The sequence below is a fragment of the Homo sapiens genome, chromosome 2 (assembly GCF_000001405.40).
Source record: "Homo sapiens chromosome 2, GRCh38.p14 Primary Assembly".
Classification (NCBI taxonomy): Eukaryota; Metazoa; Chordata; class Mammalia; order Primates; family Hominidae; genus Homo; species Homo sapiens.
In genome coordinates this window covers 38,720,867-38,742,928 of record NC_000002.12, presented here as the reverse complement: position 1 = coordinate 38,742,928, position 22,062 = coordinate 38,720,867, and the positions used below count along the sequence as shown (strand labels likewise).

The 22,062-nt window shown below is 46.3% G+C and overlaps 1 protein-coding gene and 1 long non-coding RNA gene across 4 annotated transcripts in view, besides 3 other annotated features; one reads left to right on the top strand and one right to left on the bottom strand.

Moving 5' to 3' along the window:
• Positions 1,919–2,091: a silencer, noted in NCBI's record as "fragment chr2:38967980-38968152 (GRCh37/hg19 assembly coordinates)". NCBI's record gives its function as "represses an EF-1alpha promoter that drives an FKBP-Casp9 reporter gene in an ReSE screen in HepG2 liver carcinoma cells {active_cell/tissue: HepG2}" and the evidence as "EXISTENCE:reporter gene assay evidence [ECO:0000049][PMID:32094911]".
• GALM (galactose mutarotase) overlaps positions 8,164–22,062 on the bottom strand; it is a 68,652-nt gene continuing 54,753 nt past the window's right edge. The window contains exons 5-7 of one of the 2 annotated variants that reach the window (NM_138801.3): positions 13,232–13,373; positions 11,020–11,194; positions 8,164–9,441 (exon numbers count right to left, since the gene is read on the bottom strand). In NM_138801.3, coding sequence (NP_620156.1) covers positions 9,364–9,441; positions 11,020–11,194; positions 13,232–13,373 — 395 coding nt within the window. In that variant the 3' untranslated portion in view covers positions 8,164–9,363. Of the gene's footprint in view, positions 9,442–11,019; positions 11,195–13,231; positions 13,374–22,062 lie in introns of those variants that run through there. The other variant, XM_047443419.1, reaches the window with a different exon arrangement.
• LOC124905993 (uncharacterized) overlaps positions 9,379–22,062 on the top strand; it is a 49,668-nt gene continuing 36,984 nt past the window's right edge. For both annotated transcript variants that reach the window (XR_007086292.1, XR_007086291.1), the window contains exon 1: positions 9,379–9,463. This is a non-coding gene — a long non-coding RNA (uncharacterized LOC124905993). The remainder of the gene's footprint in view (positions 9,464–22,062) is intronic.
• Positions 19,806–19,855: an enhancer, noted in NCBI's record as "active region_15609". NCBI's record gives its function as "activates an Ori minimal core promoter by ATAC-STARR-seq in GM12878 lymphoblastoid cells {active_cell/tissue: GM12878}" and the evidence as "EXISTENCE:reporter gene assay evidence [ECO:0000049][PMID:35858748]".
• Positions 20,646–20,705: a silencer, noted in NCBI's record as "silent region_11379". NCBI's record gives its function as "represses an Ori minimal core promoter by ATAC-STARR-seq in GM12878 lymphoblastoid cells {active_cell/tissue: GM12878}" and the evidence as "EXISTENCE:reporter gene assay evidence [ECO:0000049][PMID:35858748]".

The window sequence follows — 22,062 nt, the reverse complement described above, 5'->3', positions numbered from 1 at the left end:
TTGCTGAGTCAAAGGGTATGTGCATTATAATTTTTGCTGGGTACTGTTGGTTTGCCTTCATGGCAGTGTATAGGAGTACCTGTTTCTTTGTATCAGTTCCTACCTGATGGGCTATCAAACTTGATTTTTACCAATCTCAAGTTGAAAAATGGTGTTTCAGCATAGATTTTTTTTAAGACGGAGTCTCGCTCTGTTGCCCAGGCTGGAGTGCAGTGGCGTGATCTTGGCTCACTGCAACCTCTGCTTCCTGGGTTCAAGTGATTCTCCTGCCTCAGCCTCCCAAGTAGCTTGGATTACAGGTGCCCGCCACCACGCCCTGCTAATTTGTACTTTTAGTAGAGACAGGGTTTTGCCATGCTGGGCAGGCTGGCCTTGAACCCTGACCTTTGGTGATCTGTCTGCCTCGGCCTCCCAAAGTGCTGGGATTACAGGCGTGAGCCACCGCGCCTGGCCTCAGCATATTTTTTTTGAGGCAGGTTCTCTGTCACACAGGCTGGAGTGCCATGGTACAATCAGCTTACTGCAGCCTCTGAACTCCTGGGCTCAAGTGATTCTGCCACCTCAGTCTCCCGAGTTGCTGGGACTACAGACTTGCACCACCACAGTCGGCTATTTTTTTTTTTAATTTTTAGTAGAGATCTCGCCTTGTTGCCCAGGCTGTTCTTGGACTCCTGGGCTTAAGTGATCCTCCCATTTTGGCCTCCCAAAGTGCTGGGATTCCAGGCATGAGCCACCATTCCCGGCTGTTTTACATTTTGAAGTGGTTGAAAAAGAATAAAAATTGTAACATTTTATGACATATGTAAGTTGTGTGAAATTTAAATTGTAGTGTTTATAAAGTTTTATGGAAACAGCTATGACTTGTTTGCTTATGGGCTGTCACTGTTTTTGTGCTAACAGTAGTGGAGTTGAGTGGTTGTGACAAAGTCCAACAAAGCCTGTAAAATCTACTCTCCTTTTCATTTTACAGACAATATTTGCCAGCCCCTGGTTTAGATATGTGTCTTCAACTTTACAACTTTCAAAACAATTTTATCTCTGGAGATCTTGGGTACCAAGATTATTTGTAGAGTTGCCAGGGCCTTACCAAGATAGACTTTTGGTCTGGGAAGCCTGACTTATCCAGGACTCTTTCCTTGAAGTGCTTTGTGAAGCTCGGGGGCAAATTCTAGCCAAACGCATTTACGGACTTACCGTAAAATGGATGAATGAGACCATACTAGGGAAAGCTTTTACTCTAGGGTAGTGGTTCTGATTGCTAGTTGCAGACTAAAATCACCCAGGGTGCTTAAAGACATTCAAATGAAAGAATCACTGAGGGTGAAGCCTGGGTATTAATGTAAAAATTTCACCTGGTGATTTCTGAGACAGCATCTGTCACCCAGGCTGGAGTGCAGTGGCATGATCGCTGCCTTGACTTCCTGGGCTCAGGTGATCCTCCTGCCTCTGCCTCCTGAGTAGCTGGGACTACAGGCACATGTCACCACACCCAGCTAATTTTTGTATTTTTTTCTTAAAGATGGGGTTTCACCATGTTGCTTAGGTGGGTCTCAAACTCCTGGGCTTAAGCATTCCACCGGCCTTGGCCTCCGTAAGTGCTAGGATTACAGGTGTGAGCCACAGTGCCTCGCTTCTCCCCTGGTTCTTCTAATACGCAACCAGAATTGAAAACCACTGCTCTGGAAGTGGTGTTAGTTATTGGAAGATTGGCCTGGTTTATTCTACTATAATAAGGAAGTAGCAGCACTCACATGTGAATCAAAGGATTCTGCTATTGTCCTCTAGGTTTCTCTGTCTCCAAATGATCCCATGCTGGAAAGGAAACTGAAAAAAACAGAAACTGCATTTTAATTTATATTAGTACCAGTAGAGGTCGCTGTGCTCAAAGAAATAATCATCTTTAAAAAAAAGTTAACATTCTATTCAGAATTTTTTTTTTTTTTTTTTGAGACAGAGTTTTGCTCTTGTTGCTCAGCCTGGAGTGCAGTGGCGCGATTTCGCTCACCGCAACTTCCACCTCCCGGGTTCAAGCTATTTTCCTGCCTCAGCCTCTTGAGTAGTTAGGATTATAGGCATGTGTCACCACCCCTGGCTAATTTTGTATTTTTAGTAGAGACGGGGTTTCTCCATGTTGATCAGGCTGGTCTCAAATTCCCGACCTCAGGTGATCCACCCACCTCAGCCTCCCAAAGTGCTGGGATTACAGGTGTGAGCCACCACGCCCGGCTAATTTTGTATTTTTAGTAGAGATGGGGTTTCACCACGTTGGCCAGGCTGGTTTCAAACCCCTGAGCTCAGGTGATCCACCCGCCTCGACCTCCCAAAGTGGTGGGATTATAGGCATGAGCCACCATGTCTGGCCTAAATATTTTTTTTAGTATAAAAAATTAAGTGTGTTACTTAATTCCTCTTGATTTTTTAAAACTATTTTTTAGTTAGTGGTTGAATCTTACCACAATCTAGTTCTGATTAATACTCTGGTAAAATATAGAAATTACACTCCAATGCTGTTTCCTTTTACTCTTCCCTCTTTTATGCTATATTTATGTATTCTAAACTTGATACTACTGTGTTACAAGTATTGCTTTGTGTAATCTTAACGTCTTTTTTTTTTTTTTTTTTTTGAGACGGAGTCTCACTCTGTTGCCAGGCTGGAGTGCAGTGGCATGATATTGGTTCACTGCAACCTCTGCCTCCTGGGTTCAAGCAGTCCTCCTGCCTCAGCCTCCTGAGTAGCTGGGACTACAGGCACGTGCCACCATGCCCAGCTAATTTTTGTAATTTTAGTAGAGACAGGGTTTCACCATGTTGGCCAGGATGGTCTTGATCTTTTGACCTTGTGATCCACCTGCCTCAGCCTCCCAAAGTGCTGGGATTACAGGCGTGAGCCACCATGCCCGGCTAATCTTATGTCTTTTAAGAGAATAAATGAAAAAATACAATGTCTTATTAATCCATATATTTACTATTTCTGATCTTCTTTATTTCTTTCCATGGATTCTGGTGTAATTTCAGTATGGAGGACTTCCTCTAGTATTTCTCATAAGGCAGGCTTGCTAGCAATGAATTCCCTAGTCTTTATTTCACCTTTGCTTTTGAAGGATAGTTCTGGGTGATAATTGAATCTCTGGTTTTGAAGCACTTTGACCATGTCATTCCACGGCATTCTGGGCTCCATTGTTCCAGATGAGAAGTCAGCTGTTAATTGTACTGGTGCTGGTGGTCCCCTGTAGCGAGGAGTCATTTTTCTCCTGCTGCTTTCAAATTTTGTTTGCTTTTGACATTCAGCAGTTTAAATGTATCAACAGTTTGGTGTATCTAGATGGGAATCTCTATTCTTGAAGTTTGTTGAGCTTCTTAGATTTATAGATAATTGGTTTTCATCAAATTTGGAAGTTTTTTGCCATTATTTTTTTTTGTCCCTCTCTTTGGACTCCCATTACTCATACGCTCATGTGCTTGTTTTCTCACAGGTCTCTGAGGTTCTGTTCAGTTTTCTTCAATCTCTTTTCTGTTTTTCAGGTTGAATAATTCCTATTAATCTACCTTCAAGTTCACTTACTCTTTCTTCTGCTGTCTCAAATCTACTTCTGACTCTCTCTAGTTAACTTTTTTTTTGTTTTGTTTTGTTTTTTTTTGAGACAGTTTCACTGTGTTGCCCAGGCTGGAGTGCAGTGGCGTGATGTTGGCTCACTGCAACCTCTGCCTCCCGGGTTCAAGTGATTCTCGTGCCTCAGCCTCCCAGTATTACAGGCACAGGCACATGGTGATGCCTGGCTAATTTTTGTAGTATTAGTAGAGATGGGGTTTCACCAGGTTGACCAGGCTGGTCTTGAATTACTGTCCTCAAGTGATCCGCCCACCTCAGCCTCCCAAAGTGCTGGGATTACAGGTGTGAGCCATTGTGCCTGGCCTCTCTAGTTAACTTCTTATGCATCATTATACTGTTTTCAACAAACTTCTACTTGATTCCCTTTTTTTTTTTTTTGAGGTAGTGTCTCACTCTGTCACCCAGGATGGAGTGCAGTGGCATGATCTCAGCTTACTGCAACCTCCGCCTCCCAGGTTCAAGCAATTCTCCTGGCTCAGCCTCCCAAGTGGCTGGGATTACAGGTGTGCACCACCACACCTAGCTAATTTTTGCATTTTTAGTACAGATTGGGTTTTGCCATGTTGGCCAGGCTGGTCTCAAACTTCTGGCCTCAGGTGATCTGCCTGCCTCGGGCTCCCAGAGTGCTGGGATTACAGGCGTGAGCCATTGGCCCCAGCCTACTTGATTCCTTTTTATAATCTCCAGTTTTTTTGTTTTTGTTTTTGTTTTCAACATTCTTGTGTTTATCTTTTAAAAGACAGTCTCCCTGTGTTGTCCAGGCTGCAGTGCAGTTGGCTATTCACAGGTGGGATCATAGTATACTATAGTCTTGAACTCCTGGGCTCAAACAAGCCTCCTGTCTCAGCCTCCTGAGTAGCTGGGACTACAGGCATGAACCCCTATGCCCAGCTTCTTATGCTTATTTTAAAATTCTAGGGGGTTGCCTTGTGTCTGCACAGCTTAGGGGGCAGCCACTTTCTGGAGAGTTTGTGCTGACACCTCAACCAGTCAGACTTCTGTCCTCTGCTGATGGATCTTTGTGTAGGTAGGTGAGTAATTTTAATATTCAGGCTGCTTTCAAGTCTATCTTAAGTTTTACTTTTTGTTGAGCCCTTCATCTCTGTTGCACATGTACCCAGCCTCCGATCAGCCAAAAATCTGCTTGCAGCCACGACTGCAACCTCAGGCCAGTAGAGCCATAAGCCCTCCCTGCCTGCACAGCACTGGGATTGTTACTTCCATTGATGATGGTTTGGGTATGGCTGCCACTCACACCTCCAAATGGAGTAAACCCTCTTTCAACCACAGCTGCTTGCTTGTCCTCATGTTCTGTTTTGCCTCAGCAGAACCTTCACAATTACTGAGTTGGAGGAGTGAGGGGGATACGAACAGCCCCAGGCAAGAACACTACAGACTCCCACTATTCCTACTCAAAGCTCAGTAGTTTTTCAGACAACATATCTCAGACTGGAAGGTTTTATGTCTGTTTCCAGAACACCAAAATTGTTTTGAGCTGGGAGTAGTGGTGCGTGCTTATAGTTGCAGGTACTTAGGAGGCTGAGGCTGGAGGGGGGATTGCTTGAGGGCAGGAATTCAAGACCAACCTGGGCAACATAGTAAGACCCCCCATCTCTATAAACAACAAAAAAAATGTTTCGTCCAATTTTTTCAGCATTTTAATTGCTCGAACTATAATAAGGAGAGGATTTGCTGACGTCCTTGCCTGACTGTAGCTGGAAGTGCTGCCCAAAGCACGAGACTTTAATGATGATCTGCGTAACTGAGTTAAGCAGGAAATGCCTTGATTGGGAAAGGATTGCACTCCTGTCCAAACAGCCTCTTGAAAACTGGTGATCCAATTGCTTAAAATGGTTAAGAGTGAAAATGGGAACTGGCCGGGGACCAGGACACATGCTGAGCTTCCTTCCTGCCCTGTGCTGGTAGTCCTGCATTTTTTTCCATGTTCTACTTTTCGTAAACTCTCCAGTTCCACCTCCACAGCATGACATCTTAGTCTTCACAGCAGTGTTTGTGTAATTATTTTAATATGACATCTCACCTTGTACAATTTTTTATTTTTGAGACAGTCTTGCTCTGTAACCCAGGCTGGAGTGCAGTGGTGCAATCTAGGCTCACTGCAACCTCCGCTTCGCAGGTTCAAGCAGTTATCTGCCTCAGCCTCCTGAGTAGCTGGGATTACAGGCACCTGCCACCATGCCTGGCTAATTTTTGTGTTTTTAGTAGAGACGGGATTTCACCATCTTGGCCAGGCTGGTCTTGAACTCCTGACCTAGTGATCCACCCGCCTTGGCCTCCCAAACTGCTGGGATTACAGGCGTGAGCCACCGCGTCCAGCACCTTCTAAAATTTTACTTCTTGCTGGGGCCTTCAGCGATTTTATCATAAAATCACCCAATTATGCTGACATGCTGTCACATGTCACAATCTATGTCTTATAAGCACATGGAAGGGCTTCTCAAGCAAAGTTATGTGTTTCATGAAAAAGGACAGATTGGTTGCTGCCACAAAAAGAGTTTCTCTAAATTTTTGCTTCCCTCAGATGCATGGTGTGACAAATGTAGCCTTTTTTTTTTTTAAGACAGAGTCTCGCTCTGTCGCCCAGGCTGGAGTGCAGTGGCGAGATCTCGGCTCACTCCAACCTCCACTTCCCTGGTTCAAGCAATTTCCCTCTCTCAGCCTCCTGAGTAGCTGGGATTACAGGTGCATGCCACCACGCCCAGCTAATTTTTTTGTATTATTAGTAGAGACGGTTGGCCAGACTGGTCTCAAACCAGGTTTCACCTGGTTGGCCAGACTGGTCTCAAACTCCTGACCTCAGGCAATCCACCCACCTTGGCCTCCCAAAGTGCTGGGATTACAGATGTGAGCCACAGCGCCTGGCCGCCTTTTTTACTTGCTTTTATAAACACCATTAATTTAAAGGCCAGTAACTTATTTCAGCTGCCCTACAGGCAATGAATATCCTTACTTGGACTACTGTAGACTTGGCTTCTTATAAAAACAATAATCTTTTTGGACAGAAGAAAACAAAGTATTTGGCTAATTAATTAATTAATTTGGCATTCTCAAACCTAGAGGCCATTACATTAAGAACTAGTTTGTAGTTGTTACATTTCTTTGTTTTGTCTCAGTGGATCCAGGGCTGGAATCGCCCCCATAGTGGCAGCAGGGGAGACCCCATCAGGGAGTGATCCAAACTATCTCGAGATAGGGCCGGCTGGGATTTCAAAGAAAGAAGCTCTAAGCGCCAGGGTGATCAATCCAAAGCATTTATTAGAGGAACTTCCTTACAGAGTGCTGCAGCAATGGTTGAGAGAGAAAAGGGGTGTTCTGCCCAGGTATATCAGCAGTGAGGGAGTTTCTATGACAGTTAAAGGAATTTGGCTCAGGGCCAGAGCCAGTTTCTTTTTTCTTTTTCTTTTTTTTTTTTTTTTTTTTTGAGACAGAGTCTTGCTGTCACCCAGGCTGGAGTGCAATGAGAGTCTTGCTGTGACCCAGGCTGGAGTGCAATGGCATGATTTTGGCTCACTGCAACCTCCGCCTCCTGGGCTTAAGCAATTCTCCTGCTTCAGCTTCCCGACTAACTGAGATTACAGGCACCCGCCACCATGCCCAGCTAATTTTTTTGTATTTTTTTTTTTTTTTTTAGTTGAGACGGGGTTTCACCATGTTGGCCAGGCTGGTCTTGAATGCCTGATCTCAGGTGATCCACCCGCCTCGGCCTCCCAAAGTGTTGGGATTACAGGCGTGAGCCACTGCGCCCGGCCCAGTGCCAGTTTCTTTTAGTGTTTTAGGGAACAACCTAGACAGATTTATCAGTGCCTGGGAATGTTCAAGGCCCGGTTTGGGTTCAAGCCTGCTAGGAAAAATCTGCAGCTGGCTAGGTGACAAAGGTCAAGGCACTCTGTGACTTTTGGTCAGGATACAGAAAGCAGGGGCAACTGGCAACTCTACACTTGTGAATAAGAAAATGTTCATTCTCTTCTTCTCTGGGATTTCCTAAATGATTGCTGGCACCTAGAGTATGAGAACCCTGCGTCGAACAATTTAATAATCAAATTGGTAGCTAGGTTGCAGTCAGCTTAATAGTTCACCTCTGAGGCCTCTTGGCTAATGTATATATTGGTAACTTTAATAAGAGTGGAGAGATCTGCAGGCAGCATCTTGCTCAAGTCACCAAAGTTAACCTCACCAGTGAGAAGACAACTGAGCATGTACCTCACCTGACTGGCTGCTGTGGGCAGCATCACACCTGACCTGAATCCCTTCACAGACCCAGCAGAGGGCTGTGTACAGAGCAGGTGCTCAGAAAAATCCATGCTGAAGTGAATTAAAAAATAAACAAGATCTTTGGTTTATTATCGGTTACAAAGAAAGAGGAGGTGTGGAAAGCTACTTCCACTGAGATAGCTTTCCTAACTGTTAGGTAGGAAAATGCCAGGGCTCCCACTGGAGGGCAAAGTAGAATCCAGAACACACCCATATTCTTGGTCCATTTCCCAAAGGTCCACGCCTGAGAGATTTCAAGCTGAGTAAAGGAACAAGTCTTCTGAAGATGCAGATTTTGGTTTTATTTCAATTCAGTACAGCATACACTAGTATAACATACTTTTTTTTTTTTTTTTCAAAATCACCAACCAAAACCCATCACTGATACTTTGATTGTCTAGGAAAGAAGGAGCCCCAGCCTTGTCACATACAATCTCTGTCCCTGGTGCAATGTCATCCTCACTGTGCTGTGAAAGGCAAGGCTCTCTCCTCACCCTAATAGCTCCTGTTTCCAGTGCTTGCCTGTCTTTCTTCCCAAGCGTTGGCCGGGCTGTGCTTTCTCAGTTAACCCAAAGGCTCTTGCAGGCCTTTTCCTCTCGGAAGTCCCCTCCCTCTCCCGAGAGAGAGAGCTGCTTTTTTTTCCTTTTTTTTTTTTTTTTTTTTGAGATCGAGTTTTGCTCTGTTGCCCAGTGCAGTGGCATGATCTCGGCTCACTGCAACCTCCACCTCCCAGGTTCAAGCGATTCTCCTGCTTCAGCCTCCCAAGTAGCTGGGACTACAGGTGCGTGCTACCACACCCAGCTAATTTTTTATGTAGAGACGGGGTTTCACCGTGTTAGCCAGGATGGTCTCGATCTCCTGACCTCGTGATCCGCCTGCCTCGGCCTTCCAAAGTGCTGGGATTACAGGCGTGAGCCACCGTGCCCGGCCTCAACTTTTTATTTATTAGCTTGTTGGTCTTCAACCTCTGTAAGCCTCAGTTTCCTCACTTATCAATCATCTACTGCTGTATAGAGACAGGTCCATCTCCTAGCATGCAGGGTGAGGCTAATGTGACATTTGAAAACTCCAGAGTGCTGCTGACAGTGGTTGGAGGTGAAGGAGGAGGAAATAAAAGCAATGTGAGAATAGCTTTAAAGAAAGGAAGGGCAAAAAGTTGAAAAGAAAGAGGCAGTGTGGAGAGATGGAGCCAACAGCAGCATGGGAGTCCCTGGCTAGGGTCAGGGCTTAGATGACGACATTGTTGGTTGGGTTCACTTGCCCTCTGAACTGCACAGGGAATCGAGCTGGTCATTAGACATGGCCTGGAGCCAGTCACTGGAAAAGGAAATCAATACCCAGACTGATTCTCAGAACAGCCACCATTTGTATGATTTTAATCCATAGAATCATTCTGAAAGCTTCTTAATCTTCACCTTTTTTCTGGACAGGAGACAGGTGGCTGAGCCTAGCCCTGGACTGGATCATATCTTCACACTTCCTTAAGCCACAGAAAACTTGAACCAGGTGGTGTGGTCATACTCCTCACCAGGCCTCAGCAGCACAGGAGGGAAGCGGGGCTGTGAAGGGGAAACAACACAGGTGATGCTTGACACCGCAGGCTGCAACATTAACCATTTGGGTGTGCTTCTGGACGGGCTTCTAGACCAGTGCTCTGTGGATGGCTGCCAGTGCGGGAACTGTTTATGATTGGTTCATAGTGAGATAAAGAACTTTAATCAGAGTGAAAAAAGCACACTTTGTTAAAGGAAGGCTTTCCTGATGAAGGGAAGCAGTGTGTTGATCTATAATCTGGTGTAAGGTGTAGGCTTTTTTTTTTTTTTTTTGAGATGGAGTCTTGCTCTGTTGCCCAGGCTGGAGTGCAGTGGGGCGATCTCAGCTCACTGCAAACCCCGCTTCCTGGGTTCAAGCGATTCTCCTGCCTCAGCCTCCAGAGTAGCTGGGATCACAGGCACCTGCCACCATGCCCAGATAATTTTTTTATTTTTACTAGAGACAGGGTTTTGTCATGTTGACCGGGCTGGTCTCGAACTCCTGACCTCAAGTGATACACCTGCCTCAGACTCTCAAAGTGCTGGGATTACAGGTGTGAGCCACCGCACCTGGCCCTTTTTTTTTTTTTTTTTTAAAGACAGGGTCTCATTCTGTTGCACAGGCTGGAGTGCAGTGGTGTGATCATGGCTCACTGCAGCCTTGACCTCCCAGGCTCAGGGATCCTCCCACCTCAGCCTCCCAAGTAGCTGGGGCCACAGGTGTGCACTACCACACCTGGCTAATTTTTCTAATAATCTGTAAAGATGGGGTCTCCCTGTGTTGCCCAGGTTAGCCTCAATCTCAGGCTCAAGCAATCCTCCCGCCTCAGCCTCCCAAAGTGCTGGGATTACAGGCATGAGCCACCTTGCCCAGCCCAAGGTGCAAGCTTCTTATTGTGGGCTGGCACTTTCAGGAGTACTGCTCTGGGTAACAACCAGAAAAGAAAGTTATGAGGGAGCACATAGGAGGAGACGATATGGAAGCTCTCCTTAAGTGTGGCTGCAGAAAACGAGAAGGTATTGTTAAGGAGAAACAAACTGGATAAAGGCTTTGAAGGTACAAAATTTCAGCTTTCTTAAAACCATGTAAATCCCATGTTAGTAGCTTGGCTATGGGTTTTCTGTGACTTGCAGAAGAGAATAAGCATGAACTTTTGAGCCGGGCACAGTGGCTCACGCCTATAATCCTAGCACTTTGGGAGGCCAAGGCAGGTGGATCACCTGAGGTCAGGGGTTTTGAGACCAGCCTGGCCAACATGGTGGAACCCTGTCTCTACTAAAAATACAAAAATTAAGCAGGCATGGTGGTAGGCGCCTGTAATCCTAGCTACTTGGAAGGCTGGGGCAGGAGAATCGCTTGGACCCAGGAGGCGGAGGTTGCAGTGAGCTGAGATCGTGCCCAGGAGGCGGAGGTTGCAGTGAGCTGAGATCGTGCCACTGCACTACAGCCTAGGCGACAAGAGTGAGACTCTGTCTCAAAAAACAAACCAAACAAACAAAGCATGAACTTTTGAATCATACAAGCTGATTCGAGTGTAGTGAACTCTGTCGTACAGTGTGACCTTGGACACAACTCTACTCTGAAAAGCCAGCCTGTGGCATTACCTGATTGACTGCATCAGGCCAGTTCTGAGTCTCCAGGCAGAAACCGGAGTGCTTGGGATAGACAGCTCCATTCTTGCCCTTTAATGTGCCATCCAGGAAGTTGCCCGTGTAAAACTGGACCCCGGGCTGGGTGGTGTATACTTCTAGTACCCGCCCGCTTGCAGCATGATGCACCCTGGTAAGAAATACAAACAACATGAGTCCAGGGCAGAAAAGCAGGTGGGGAGGAGTAGAAGCTGGGAAGCGGCTTTGAGACAGGAATCAGACCCAGCCACAGAGCAGGGACAAGATATAAGGAGGAGATGAAGGTAGGAAGAGCATGATGGAAAATTCTTCCAGTCTCAAAGGCAAGGCATGAGCAGGTGGCTTTCAGGATCCTCAGTAGCTTCTTTGGGGCATCACAAAACAGACTCACTCCTGCCAGCTGGGGAGTAGGGAGGAAGGCAGCAGCCAGGTTGGAGAGAGGAAGGTCCTGGAGAGGCTGAGATTCTTTTTTTTTTTTTTTTTTTTTTTGAAATAGAGTCTTTCTCTATTGCCCAGGCTGGAGTGCAGTGGCGCGACCTCGGCTCACTGCAACCTCAGCCTCCCGGGCTCAAGCAATTCTCCCACTTCAGCTCCCCAGTAGCTGGGACTGCAGGTGCGCACTACCATGTCCAGCTAATTTTTGTTTGTTTGTTTGTTTTGAGATGGAGTCTGGCTCTGTCACCCAGGGAGGAGTGCAGTGGTGCGATCTTGGCTCACTGCAACCTCCGCCCCCTTGGTTAAAGCAATTCTCCTGCCTCAGCCTCTAGAGTAGCTGGGATTACAGGTACCTGCCACCACATCCGGCTAATTTTTTGTACTTTTAGTATTGTCGGGGTTTCATCATGTTGGCCCAACTGGTCTTGAACTACTGACCTCAGGTGATCTGACCACCTCAGCCTCCAAAAGTGCTGGGATTACAGGCATGAGAGCCACTGCACCTGGCCTGAGATTCTTTTTTTTTTTTTGAGATGGAGTTTTGCTCTGTTGCCTAGCCTGGAGTGCAGTGGCGTGATCTCGGCTCACTACAACTTCCACCCCCTGGGTTCAAGTGATTCTCCTGCCTCAGCCTCCTGAGTAGCTGAGATTATAGGTGCCCACCACCATGCCTGGCTAATTTTTATATTTTTAGTAGAGACGGCGTTTCACCATGTTGGCGAGGCTGGTCTCAAACTCCTGACCTCAAGTGATCTGCCCACCTCAGCCACCTAAAGTGCTGGGATTACAGGCATGAGCCACCACGCCCAGCCCGGAGAAGGTCTTTGATCTTCTTTCTGTCACTATTTGGTTTGAGTCATTTTTTCTGCTTTATTTAAAAACTGTTGACCGGGTGCAGTGGCTTACACCTGTAATCCCAGCACTTTGGGAGGCCGAGGTGGGTGGATTACAAGGTCAGGAGTTCAAGACCAGCCTGACCAACATTGTGAAACCCCATCTCTACTAAAAATACAAAAATTAGCTGGGCATAGTGGCACGTGCCTGTTATCCCAGCTACTCAGGAGGCTGAGGCAGGAGAATCACTTGAACCCGGGAGGCGGAGGTTGCAGTAAACCTAGATCGCACCACTGCATTCCAGTCTGGGCGACAGAGCAAGACTCCGTCACACACACGCACACACACAAAACTGTTAATTCTGCAAACATTTATTCATTATTTGCTAGTGCCAAGGATGATATTAGGTGTTGGGGTAGAGGTAGGGCTTCACAAAGATGAAATGGCATGAGGAACTGGGATTTGGTGAGAAGGCGAGAGCGTGCACACAAGTGTCTATCGGTCAAGGCTGGAGGCGGTGAGTGCTGCAGGAGATGCCTAGCCTCCAACTGGCCATGGAGTAGGCAGGCATAAGTCACAGATCGAGAAAGCACAAAGGCTCTGGAAGTTCAGTGACAGCCGAGGTGACTTCACTAGGAAGAGTTAAGGCTTCTAACAGAAAATGGGCCTTAAAGAACAGGCAGAGAGGGAGAGAGCGGGTGCCAAGCAGGGGGAATAGGGGTAATGGCAGGTGGGGGACTGGGATAAATTCTACAGAGCTCACCTGTGCCATGGGAGCTTTGAGAAAATATGGGATGTGGTATTGGGTCACTTGTAGCATAGTAAATGCTATTGATATGGCCAGAGGAAAAGCTCCAAAGGAAAATAGGACTTGGTGTCATTTCTTCCTTACAGACTCAGGAAGTGAAAAGTACCTGACCTTGCACAAAAATGCTTTTCTTTAGATCCCTTCAGACAGAAATTGTGGTCAAAACCATTGAGATGGAAGTCCTGCAGGTGTTTTCCAAGCTCCACTGGCTTTCTCAGGTCGAATGCAGTGCCTTGCACTGGGGCAACTTCTCCTGATGGGAAGAGACAGAAAACAAAGGTGATAAATGCCCAAGTCTCATCTTTATATAGAGCCTCCACAAAGGCTCACTGGTTCTACTCTCTCCGCCTTCATTTTAATTTGTTAAGGAGATGGGAGCCCAGATCCTGGGAAACATGCAGAGACCCCATCTCTACCAAAATAATAAAATAAATAAATAAATAAATGTAAAAAATTAGCCAGGCATAGTGATGTGTCCCTGTGGTCTCAGCTACTCAGGAGGCTGAGGCAGGAGGATTGCTTGAGCCCAGGAGGTCGAGGCTACAGTGAACCATGATTGCACCACTGCACTCCAGCATAGGTAACAGAATGAGACTGTCTTAAAAAACAAATATGGAGAGGGTGGGGAAGAGAAAAAAAAAACCCTCAAATAAATAGAGTATATGGGAGTATGGGCTCAGGTTATATGCAAATACTGCACCATTTTATAGAAGGAACTAGAGTATCTAATGATTTAAGTATCAGTAGGGGGTCCTGGAACCAATCCTCCATGGATTCCAAGGGACAATGGAAAATATATACTCATAAATATATAGTAACATATACATAAAAGCCAGAGTTGTTCTAGCTGAATCAAGTACAGGTTCTGAGCAGCGCAGGTGGAAAACCCCAGGATAAGATGATGGCAGAGGTCCACTTCCTCTTAAAATTATGGCCCACCCAGGAGTAGTAACAGCCAGGTGCTAGAACCTTGTACCAAGTACAGAGAATACCAGTTTCCTCTGTAGCAGGCCAAATCACTCCAGCCATTTTTTCTTGAAGAGGAAAAGAAAAGGGCTCTGTTTCAGAGGCTTAAACAATGTTACGGTTGAGTTTTTGTTTTGTTTTGTTTTGTTTTGTTTTTTGAGATGGAGTCTTGCTCTGTCACCCAGGCTGGAGCGCAGTGGCGCGATCTCAGCTCAGTGCAACCTCCGCCTCCTGGGTTCAAGTGATTCTTCTGTCTCAGCCTCATGAGTAGCTGGGATTACAGGTGCACACCACCATGCTTTTGTATTTTTAGTAGAGACGGGGTTTCACCATGTTGGCCAGGCTGGTCGTGAACTCCTGACAGGTGATCTGCCCACCTCGGCCTCCCAAAGTGCTAGTATTATAGGCGTGAGCCACTGCACCCAGCCAAAAAAAAAGTTTTTTTTTTTTGAGACAGAGTTTTGCTCGTCGCCCAGGCTGGAGTGCAATGGCACAATCTCAGCTCACTGCCACCTCTGCCTCCCAGGTTCAAGTGATTCTCCCACCTCAGCCTCCCAAGTAGCTGGGATTACAGGCACACACCACCACGCCCAGCTAATTTTTGTATTTTTAGTAGAGATGGGGTTTCACCATGTTGGCCAGGCTAGTCTCCAACTCCTGACCTCAGGTGGTCCACCTGCCTTGGCCTCCCAAAGTGCTGGGATTACAGGTGTGAGCCACCACTCCTGGCCTAAAAAGTTTTCTTATAGTCCCAGAGCTGTCTCATATATTTTAAAGGTAAATGCAAATGTTAGGAGGTTAACATACTCTTTTAGGGTGATAATTATTTTTCCCTTTCATGTGGTCAAATGGCAATTTTAGGAACTTGGCTTCCACTGTAATCAGGGGAGAGAAGTAGCATGCAAAGTAGGGCTGAAATCTTAGGAGGCTAAGAAAAAGCAGGAACTTGTACCTTACCATTAAAATAATTTAAAAAGTAAAAGAAGAACCAATTGCCAGTCATTTAAAACATTTGGTTCTGCTTTTGTGGGTTCCTAAATGCTGAGAGAACACACAAATCTATCTGAGTAAAAGAGGACATTTCATTTATTTTTCCTTTTTCTTTTTTTTTTTTTTTTGAGACGTAGTCTCCCTCTGTTGCCTGGGCTGGAGTGCAATGGCCAGTCTAGGCTCACTGCAACCTCTGCCTCCTGGTTCAAGTGATTCTCCTGCCTCAGCCTCCCGAGGAGCTGGGACTACAGGCACGCACCATCATGCCCAGCTAATTTTTGTATTTTTAGTAGAGACGGGGTTTCACCATATTGGCCAGAGTGGTCTCGAACTCCTGACCTCGTGAACCACCTGCCTTGGCCTCCCAAAGGGCTGGGATTACAGGCGTGAACCACTGCACCCGGCCCCATTTCTTTTCTTAAACTCAGAACTGCTGTTCAGAAATGTAGTCTTCCTAGTGCCTGAAGACTGGAGTTCTGAGTTCACATACAGCCTCAGGATGCCTAGGTACGAAGCACTCAAGTGAGACACTGAGGTCCAGGCGATACCATCCTGGTGTGTGGGTGTCCACTGTTTAACCGAGAGAATCTGGGAAGTGCACAAAGGATTCCTTGCTCTTTTTTTTTTTTTTTTTCTTGAGACGGAGTCTCACTCTGTCGCCCAAGCTGGAGTGCAGTGGCTCAACCTTGGCTCACTGCAATCTCTGCCTCCTGGGTTCAAGTGATTCTCCCGCCTCAGCCTCCCAAACAGATGGGATTACAGGGGCACACCACCATGCCCAGCCAATTTTTGTATTTTTTGTAGAGACGGGGTTTCAACATGTTGGCCAGGCTGGTCTCAAACTTCTGACCTCAAGTGACCCACCCACCTTGGCCTCCCAAAGTGCTGGGATTACAGGTGTGATCTGGCCAAATTTTTAAATAGGGAATATTTGCACATGCAACCAATTTTTTTTTAAGACAGAGTTTTGCTCTTGTTGCCCAGGCTGGAGTGCAGTGGCGTGATCTCGGCTCACCACAACCTTGGCCTCCCAGGTTCAAGCGATTCTTCTGCCTCAGCCTCCCAAGTAGCTGGGATTACAGGTGCCTGCCACCACACCCAGCTAATTGTTGTATTTTTAGTAGAGATGGGCTTTCACCGTTTTGGCCAAGCTGGTCTCAGGTGATCTGCCCATCTCGGCCTCCCAAAGTGCTGGGATTATAGGCAGGAGCCACTGAGCCCGGCCGAGACTACTTCGGCTTGCATTTGTCTGGTTTACTTTTGCATTCTTATTCTGAGTCACTTGGTTTGTATACAGCATTGTGTTGGGATTAAATGTGAGAGACTTGGCCAGGCGGGGTGGCTCATGCCTGTAATCCCAGCACGTTGGCAGGCCGAGGCGGGCGGATCACGAGGTCAGGAGATCGAGACCATCCCGGCTAAAACGGTGAAAACCCGTCTCTACTAAAAATACAAAAAATTAGCCGGGCGTAGTGGCGGGCGCCTGTAGTCCCAGCTACTTGGGAGGCTGAGGCAGGAGAATGGCGTGAACCCGGGAGGCGGAGCTTGCAGTGAGCCGAGATCCCGCCACTGCACTCCAGCCTGGGCGACAGAGCGAGACTCCGTCTCAAAAAAAAAAAAAATAAAAAAAAAAAAATAAAGGCACTTTTGTTTCCCAGTAGATGGTGCTAGAGACACAATAGAAAGAGGTTGCTTTACATCCTCTAAACCCTGATCAGTTCTGGCAGAATTCATAGTTGAACTTTTTGGATCTTGAAAGCCAAAGGCCAAATCCTAGATAGCAGTGTGACCCACTTGGGTATGCTTTTGTCCTGCAATGTTTACATGATATACTACCTCCCAGACTTGCATGGTGGCTCATGCCTGTAATCCCAGAGGTTTGGGAGGCTGAGGTGGGCGGATCACTTGAGGTCAGGAGTTTGAGACCAGCCTGGGCAACATGGCGAAACCCCGTCTCTACTAAAAATACAAAAATTAGCCAGGCGTGGTGGCGCATACCTGTAATATCAGCTACTCAGTAGACTGAGGCACAAGAATCGCTTGAACCCGGGAGATGGAGGTTGTGGTGAGCCAAGATTTCACCACTGCACTCCAGACAGAGTGAGACTCTGTCTCAAAAAAACAAAACAAAACAAAACAAAAAAAAGAAAAGAAATGAAAAGAAAAAGGCAACAATAATTCTTCTTTTTCTTTTTTAAAGACAGGGTCCTGCTATGCTCAAGTGATCCTCCTGCCTCAGCCTCCTGAGTAGCTAGGACTACAGGTGTATGCCCAATTATATATATACGTGTGTGTGTGTGTGTATGTGTGTGTTTAAGAGCGAGGGTCTCGTTCTGTTACCCAGGCTGTAGTGCAGTGGCATGATCACAGCTCAATGCAGCCTCGACCTGCCAGGCTCAGGTAATCCTCCTGTCTCAGCTTCCTGAGTAGCTGGGACCCCAGGCATGTACCAGCACCCCTGGCTAATTTTTAAATTATTTGAAGAGATGGGGGTCTCACTTTGTTGCGCAGGCTGGTTTCAAACTCCTGGGCTCAAGCAATCCTCCTGCCTCAGCCTCCCAAAGTACTGGGTTTACAAGCATGAGCCACCATGCTCAGCAATTCTTCATGAAACAATTAGACTTGGAAAAAAAAGCAGGTATTCTCATGGGCTCAGGAAGATTTTAGTCTTACCAACCTATATTCTGAGTGGTAACTTATGCTTTCTTCTATAACTTTAAATGGTGTTACAATATTTAATTCTTCCTTAAAGCCACAGTCAACTCAAAATCTAACCCTTATGACAGTCCTAGTGTGATCGACTCAGGTCAATCAAAATTGCTTATAATTATCTCCCTTAAAGTATAACTACAGGTAGAAGGCTTGAAGAAACAAAGAAAGCTACAAAATTTTTGTGAAGGAAAGACAGAGGGCATACATCAGGTCTCTTTCCTGTTACCAAGCAATCTACAAATCAGTGTTTGCTTCAGCTCTTCCCTCTGTAAAACGAAGCTGTTATTAGCTGCCACATTACATGGAAATATTTGATAAATGGTATGCTTGAACACCTTCAGGAGTCTGGCATAAATAAATATATATAACAGGGCCAAATTTCAGGCTACCATATAGAACACAGAGCAGAGGGCACAGAGGGTAAGACTTTAAGCATGACAAAGAAGCCCTGACTTAAAATTAGAAAACTGGGACAATTCTAAAATGATGAAATTTTTGGTAAATGAGAAGAAAAAAACAGTGAAGGCTCCAATCTATCTTGTCCATCCTCATGCACTGACACACTTGGTCATGTGCTTAATGATCAAGTATATGGAAAATGTGGAATTTGTCCCCCAGATTCGCCATGTCTCTGGGCCCTTTCTCATAACTAGAATGAATGTTCCTTCTGGGTCCCCTATGCCCACCACAGTCTGGCAAAGTCCAATTGATCGTTCAAGAATATTCTCTAACATAATTTCTTCTTGTGAAATATTCTAACCTCTATAGCCAGGACCAATCTTTTTTTTCTTTGTTCTCATTATACTTAGAATAGACTTTTCTCAAAACGTTCATCATATTATGACATAATTACAGGATTTGTCAAAGTCAAATAAAATATAGAGATGAATCTCTCAATGTTTTATTTGAGAATCACAGAATTGGCCAGGCATGGTGGCTCATGTCTGTAATCCCAGCACTTTGGGAGGCCGAGATGGACAGATCACTTGAGGCCAGGAGTTCAAGACCAGTCTGGCCAACATGGTGAAACCCTGTCTTTACTAAAAATACAAAAATTAGCTGGGCATGGTGGTGTGTGCCTGTAGTCCCAGCTACTCTGGAGGCTGAGGCAGAAGAATTGCTTGAACCAGGAGGTGGAGCTTGCAGTGAGCTGAGATTGTGCCACTGCACTCCAGCCTGGGCAACATAGTGAGACTGAGTCTCAAAAAAAGAGAGAATCACAGAATTGCAATTCAGAGTGCACACACAGCCTAGGTGGTCCTCAGCATGTCTGGAAAACAAAGAGAAGGTTGGGAGTTTTATTAGATATACATATTTTTTGTTTTTGCTTTTTTTTTTGTTTGTTTTTTTGAGTCAGTGTCTTGCTCTCTCACCCAGGCTGGAGTGCAGTGGTTTGATCATAGCTTACTGCAGCCTCAAACTCCTGGGCTCAAGGGATTCTCCTGCCTCAGCCTCCCGAGTAGCTGTGACTACTGCAGTACATCACCACACCAGCTATAATTTTTAAATTTTTTTGTAGAGATGAGGTCTCACTATGTTGCCCAGGGTGGTCTTGAACTCCTGGCTTCAAGTGATCCTCCTGCCTCAGCTTCCCAAAGTGCTACGATTACAGGCGTGAGTTGCTGCACCTGGCCGGGAGTTTTATTAGAAAGAGAAATGTTACATACTGTTCTGAAAGAACGCTCATTGGCACTAAAGAAACTTCTGGGAGCTGGCAGGCTCTGACTCGTGAGTGACAGCAGCAGGTGAAACTAGTGTTAGAGTCACAGCAGGTCATTTTAGCGATTACTAGGGTGAAACTGGTCTCAGGGTTATAGCAGGCTGTTTCAGCTTTGCAGAAAAATCAATTCTTGGAGCAGGTGCTATGTACCCTAACTGCTCTTTTCCCCCGGCCTCTCAACTCTGAGTTAGTTGGGTATGACAATGACCCAGTTTGTATAACCAACTTTCACATATATCAAGTGATGTGTCTATAAGGAAAGTGAGGTCCTAAAGGGCAAGAATTGTGCCCTATTTATCTCTGTACCCTCTGGGCATGAAGCAGAGCCTTTCGTTGATTGAAAAACTGATGAATGAAGGCAGGAGAGGCAGAAAAAAACCCAGAGGCAACTGTGTATATTGTAGCATCTGGTGACGAAGAATGAAAGATCTAGAAAGGGGCTTAGGAATTCCCTCATCCCGTCCCCTTACTTTGCAGATGGTGAGTTTGAGCCCCCGGCAACTGAAGGGACTTGCCCGAGGTGACACATCTGCATAGTGTCAGAATCTCCACTCAGGCACTTTCCACCTCCCTCTGGAGTGTCCGACTTGGTCACAGCCCCTTACGCCCCCAACCCCGACAGTTGCTCTTGATTTTTCTCACTAAGAATTTAGAAAATGAACATGCAGTTTTTCTAGCCTTGGTTTATCTGCATATATGACTTTGTGCTTTGGTGCTAAGAATAGAAGGAGCTGTCAAAATAGCTCTCAGCAATGCTGAGTGTTCAGGAAAAAGAAGCGGAAATGGAAGGGGTACCCTCAGACAGAATGTCACATCCTCCAACTTTAGTTCTGAAGCCACCAGAAAGCCAGGGGTGTCGGCAGGGAGAAGCAGTTTCTGAAGAGGATTTCTTATTCTCCTGGAGGCCAGATGGGTGTGTATTAAGGTCTGGGCAGCAGTGCCTGGCAGATGAGGGGCTCTGACCCAACAATCTAGGGTTACAGCTCTGGGCCAGAGGAGCAGCCCATGCCCTATTTCAGAGAATGTCTGACTGCAGACAGCATCAAGGGCCCACTAGAGGTTGTTTTCATAAATACAGAGACCAGAAACTGCATGATGACAGCTGTGGAGGGTGTAGGGGGTGGGGTTAATCAGGGTTGGGTTTATTAGGAGCACACAAGAAGGAGGGAGGGGGCAAGAGAGTTGAGTGTGTGCAAAGGGGTGATTCTCATGACGGACTTCTTAGTAGAGACAGGGTTTCACCATGTTGGCCAGGCTGGTCTCGAACTCCTGACCTCAAGTGATCCAGCTGCCTCCGCCTCCCAAAGTGCTGGGATTACAGGCATGAGCCGCCTCACCCGGCCCGCATGATGCGCTTCTGTTCTAGGTGGGGGGGGGGGGTGGGGGGGGGAAGGGAAGGCATAGTTGGGGAGGGACAGTGAAAAGGTAGTAGTTATACCAAAGAACTGTATGTTCTTGTGGTGCTGAAGAATTATTGGAGCTGAAAGACATCTAGAATAGCGATCATGGAAGGTTGCAAAGACAGGTCATGACAAAGTCAAAGAAGTGAGCAGCTGAGAAGGGTGAAGGACAAGATCATTGGATGAGTGGATCTCAAGCTGAGTGGACCAGGCGCGGTGGCTCACGCCTGTAATCCCAGCACTTTGGGAGGCCAAGGAGGGCAGATCCCTTGAGCCCAGGAGTTCAAGACCAACCTGGGCAACCTGGTGAGATCCCGTCTCTACAAAAAATTAAAAAATTAGCCAGGTGTGGTATGGTGCACACCTGTGATCCCAGCTACTAGGGAGGCTGAGGTGGGAAGATCACTTGAGCCTGGGAGGTCAAGGCTGCAGGGAGCCATGATCATGCCACTGCACTCCAGCCTGGGTGACAGAGTGAGAGCTCGTCTCAAAAAAGAAGCAGAGTGGTCAGGGTATCACCAACATGGATAAGAAAATAATCAAGGATTATGACAAGAGTGATGTTAGAGTGACAGTAAGCCAGGAAGAGGTGGAAGTGACTGGGACGGGGGATGACTTAACAAAGAGAGTTCATGAGGGTGTTACTCTAGCCACTACAACTGCCTCATTTTTGCAAGAAGATGAAGTAGATCTGATCACTGGAAATAGGACTTTATAACATTCCAGATCTCTGTCACAAAATATTAAACCTTCCTCTTTCTATTTGCATTCTTGACAGAGTTATAATTACCTGCACTCTGAAAGTGAAGGAAAAACTCACTGCCTTCACAAAATCCATCTGCCTTGATTCATATCTCTTGTCTTACATAAGAGATTCACACCCACATTCTATTATGAGGAATTTGGCCTTTTCCCCATGACTGCTTGTGGCAGATTGCATTCTTCAAAGATGGCCACAGTAGTCTAGATCCCATCCACATGCTCTCCTTACAATGTGATGTTGATACTTCTTCACTGAGCCGTGGAGTCTGTGTTTCCTCTTTTGAACTTGGATGGACCTTTTTAACCACCTTAACCAAAAGAATGTGGCCAAGTAATGCTGTGTGATTTCTGCAGCCAGGTTATGTAAAAGGCTCCAGCCTCGCCCTCTCTCT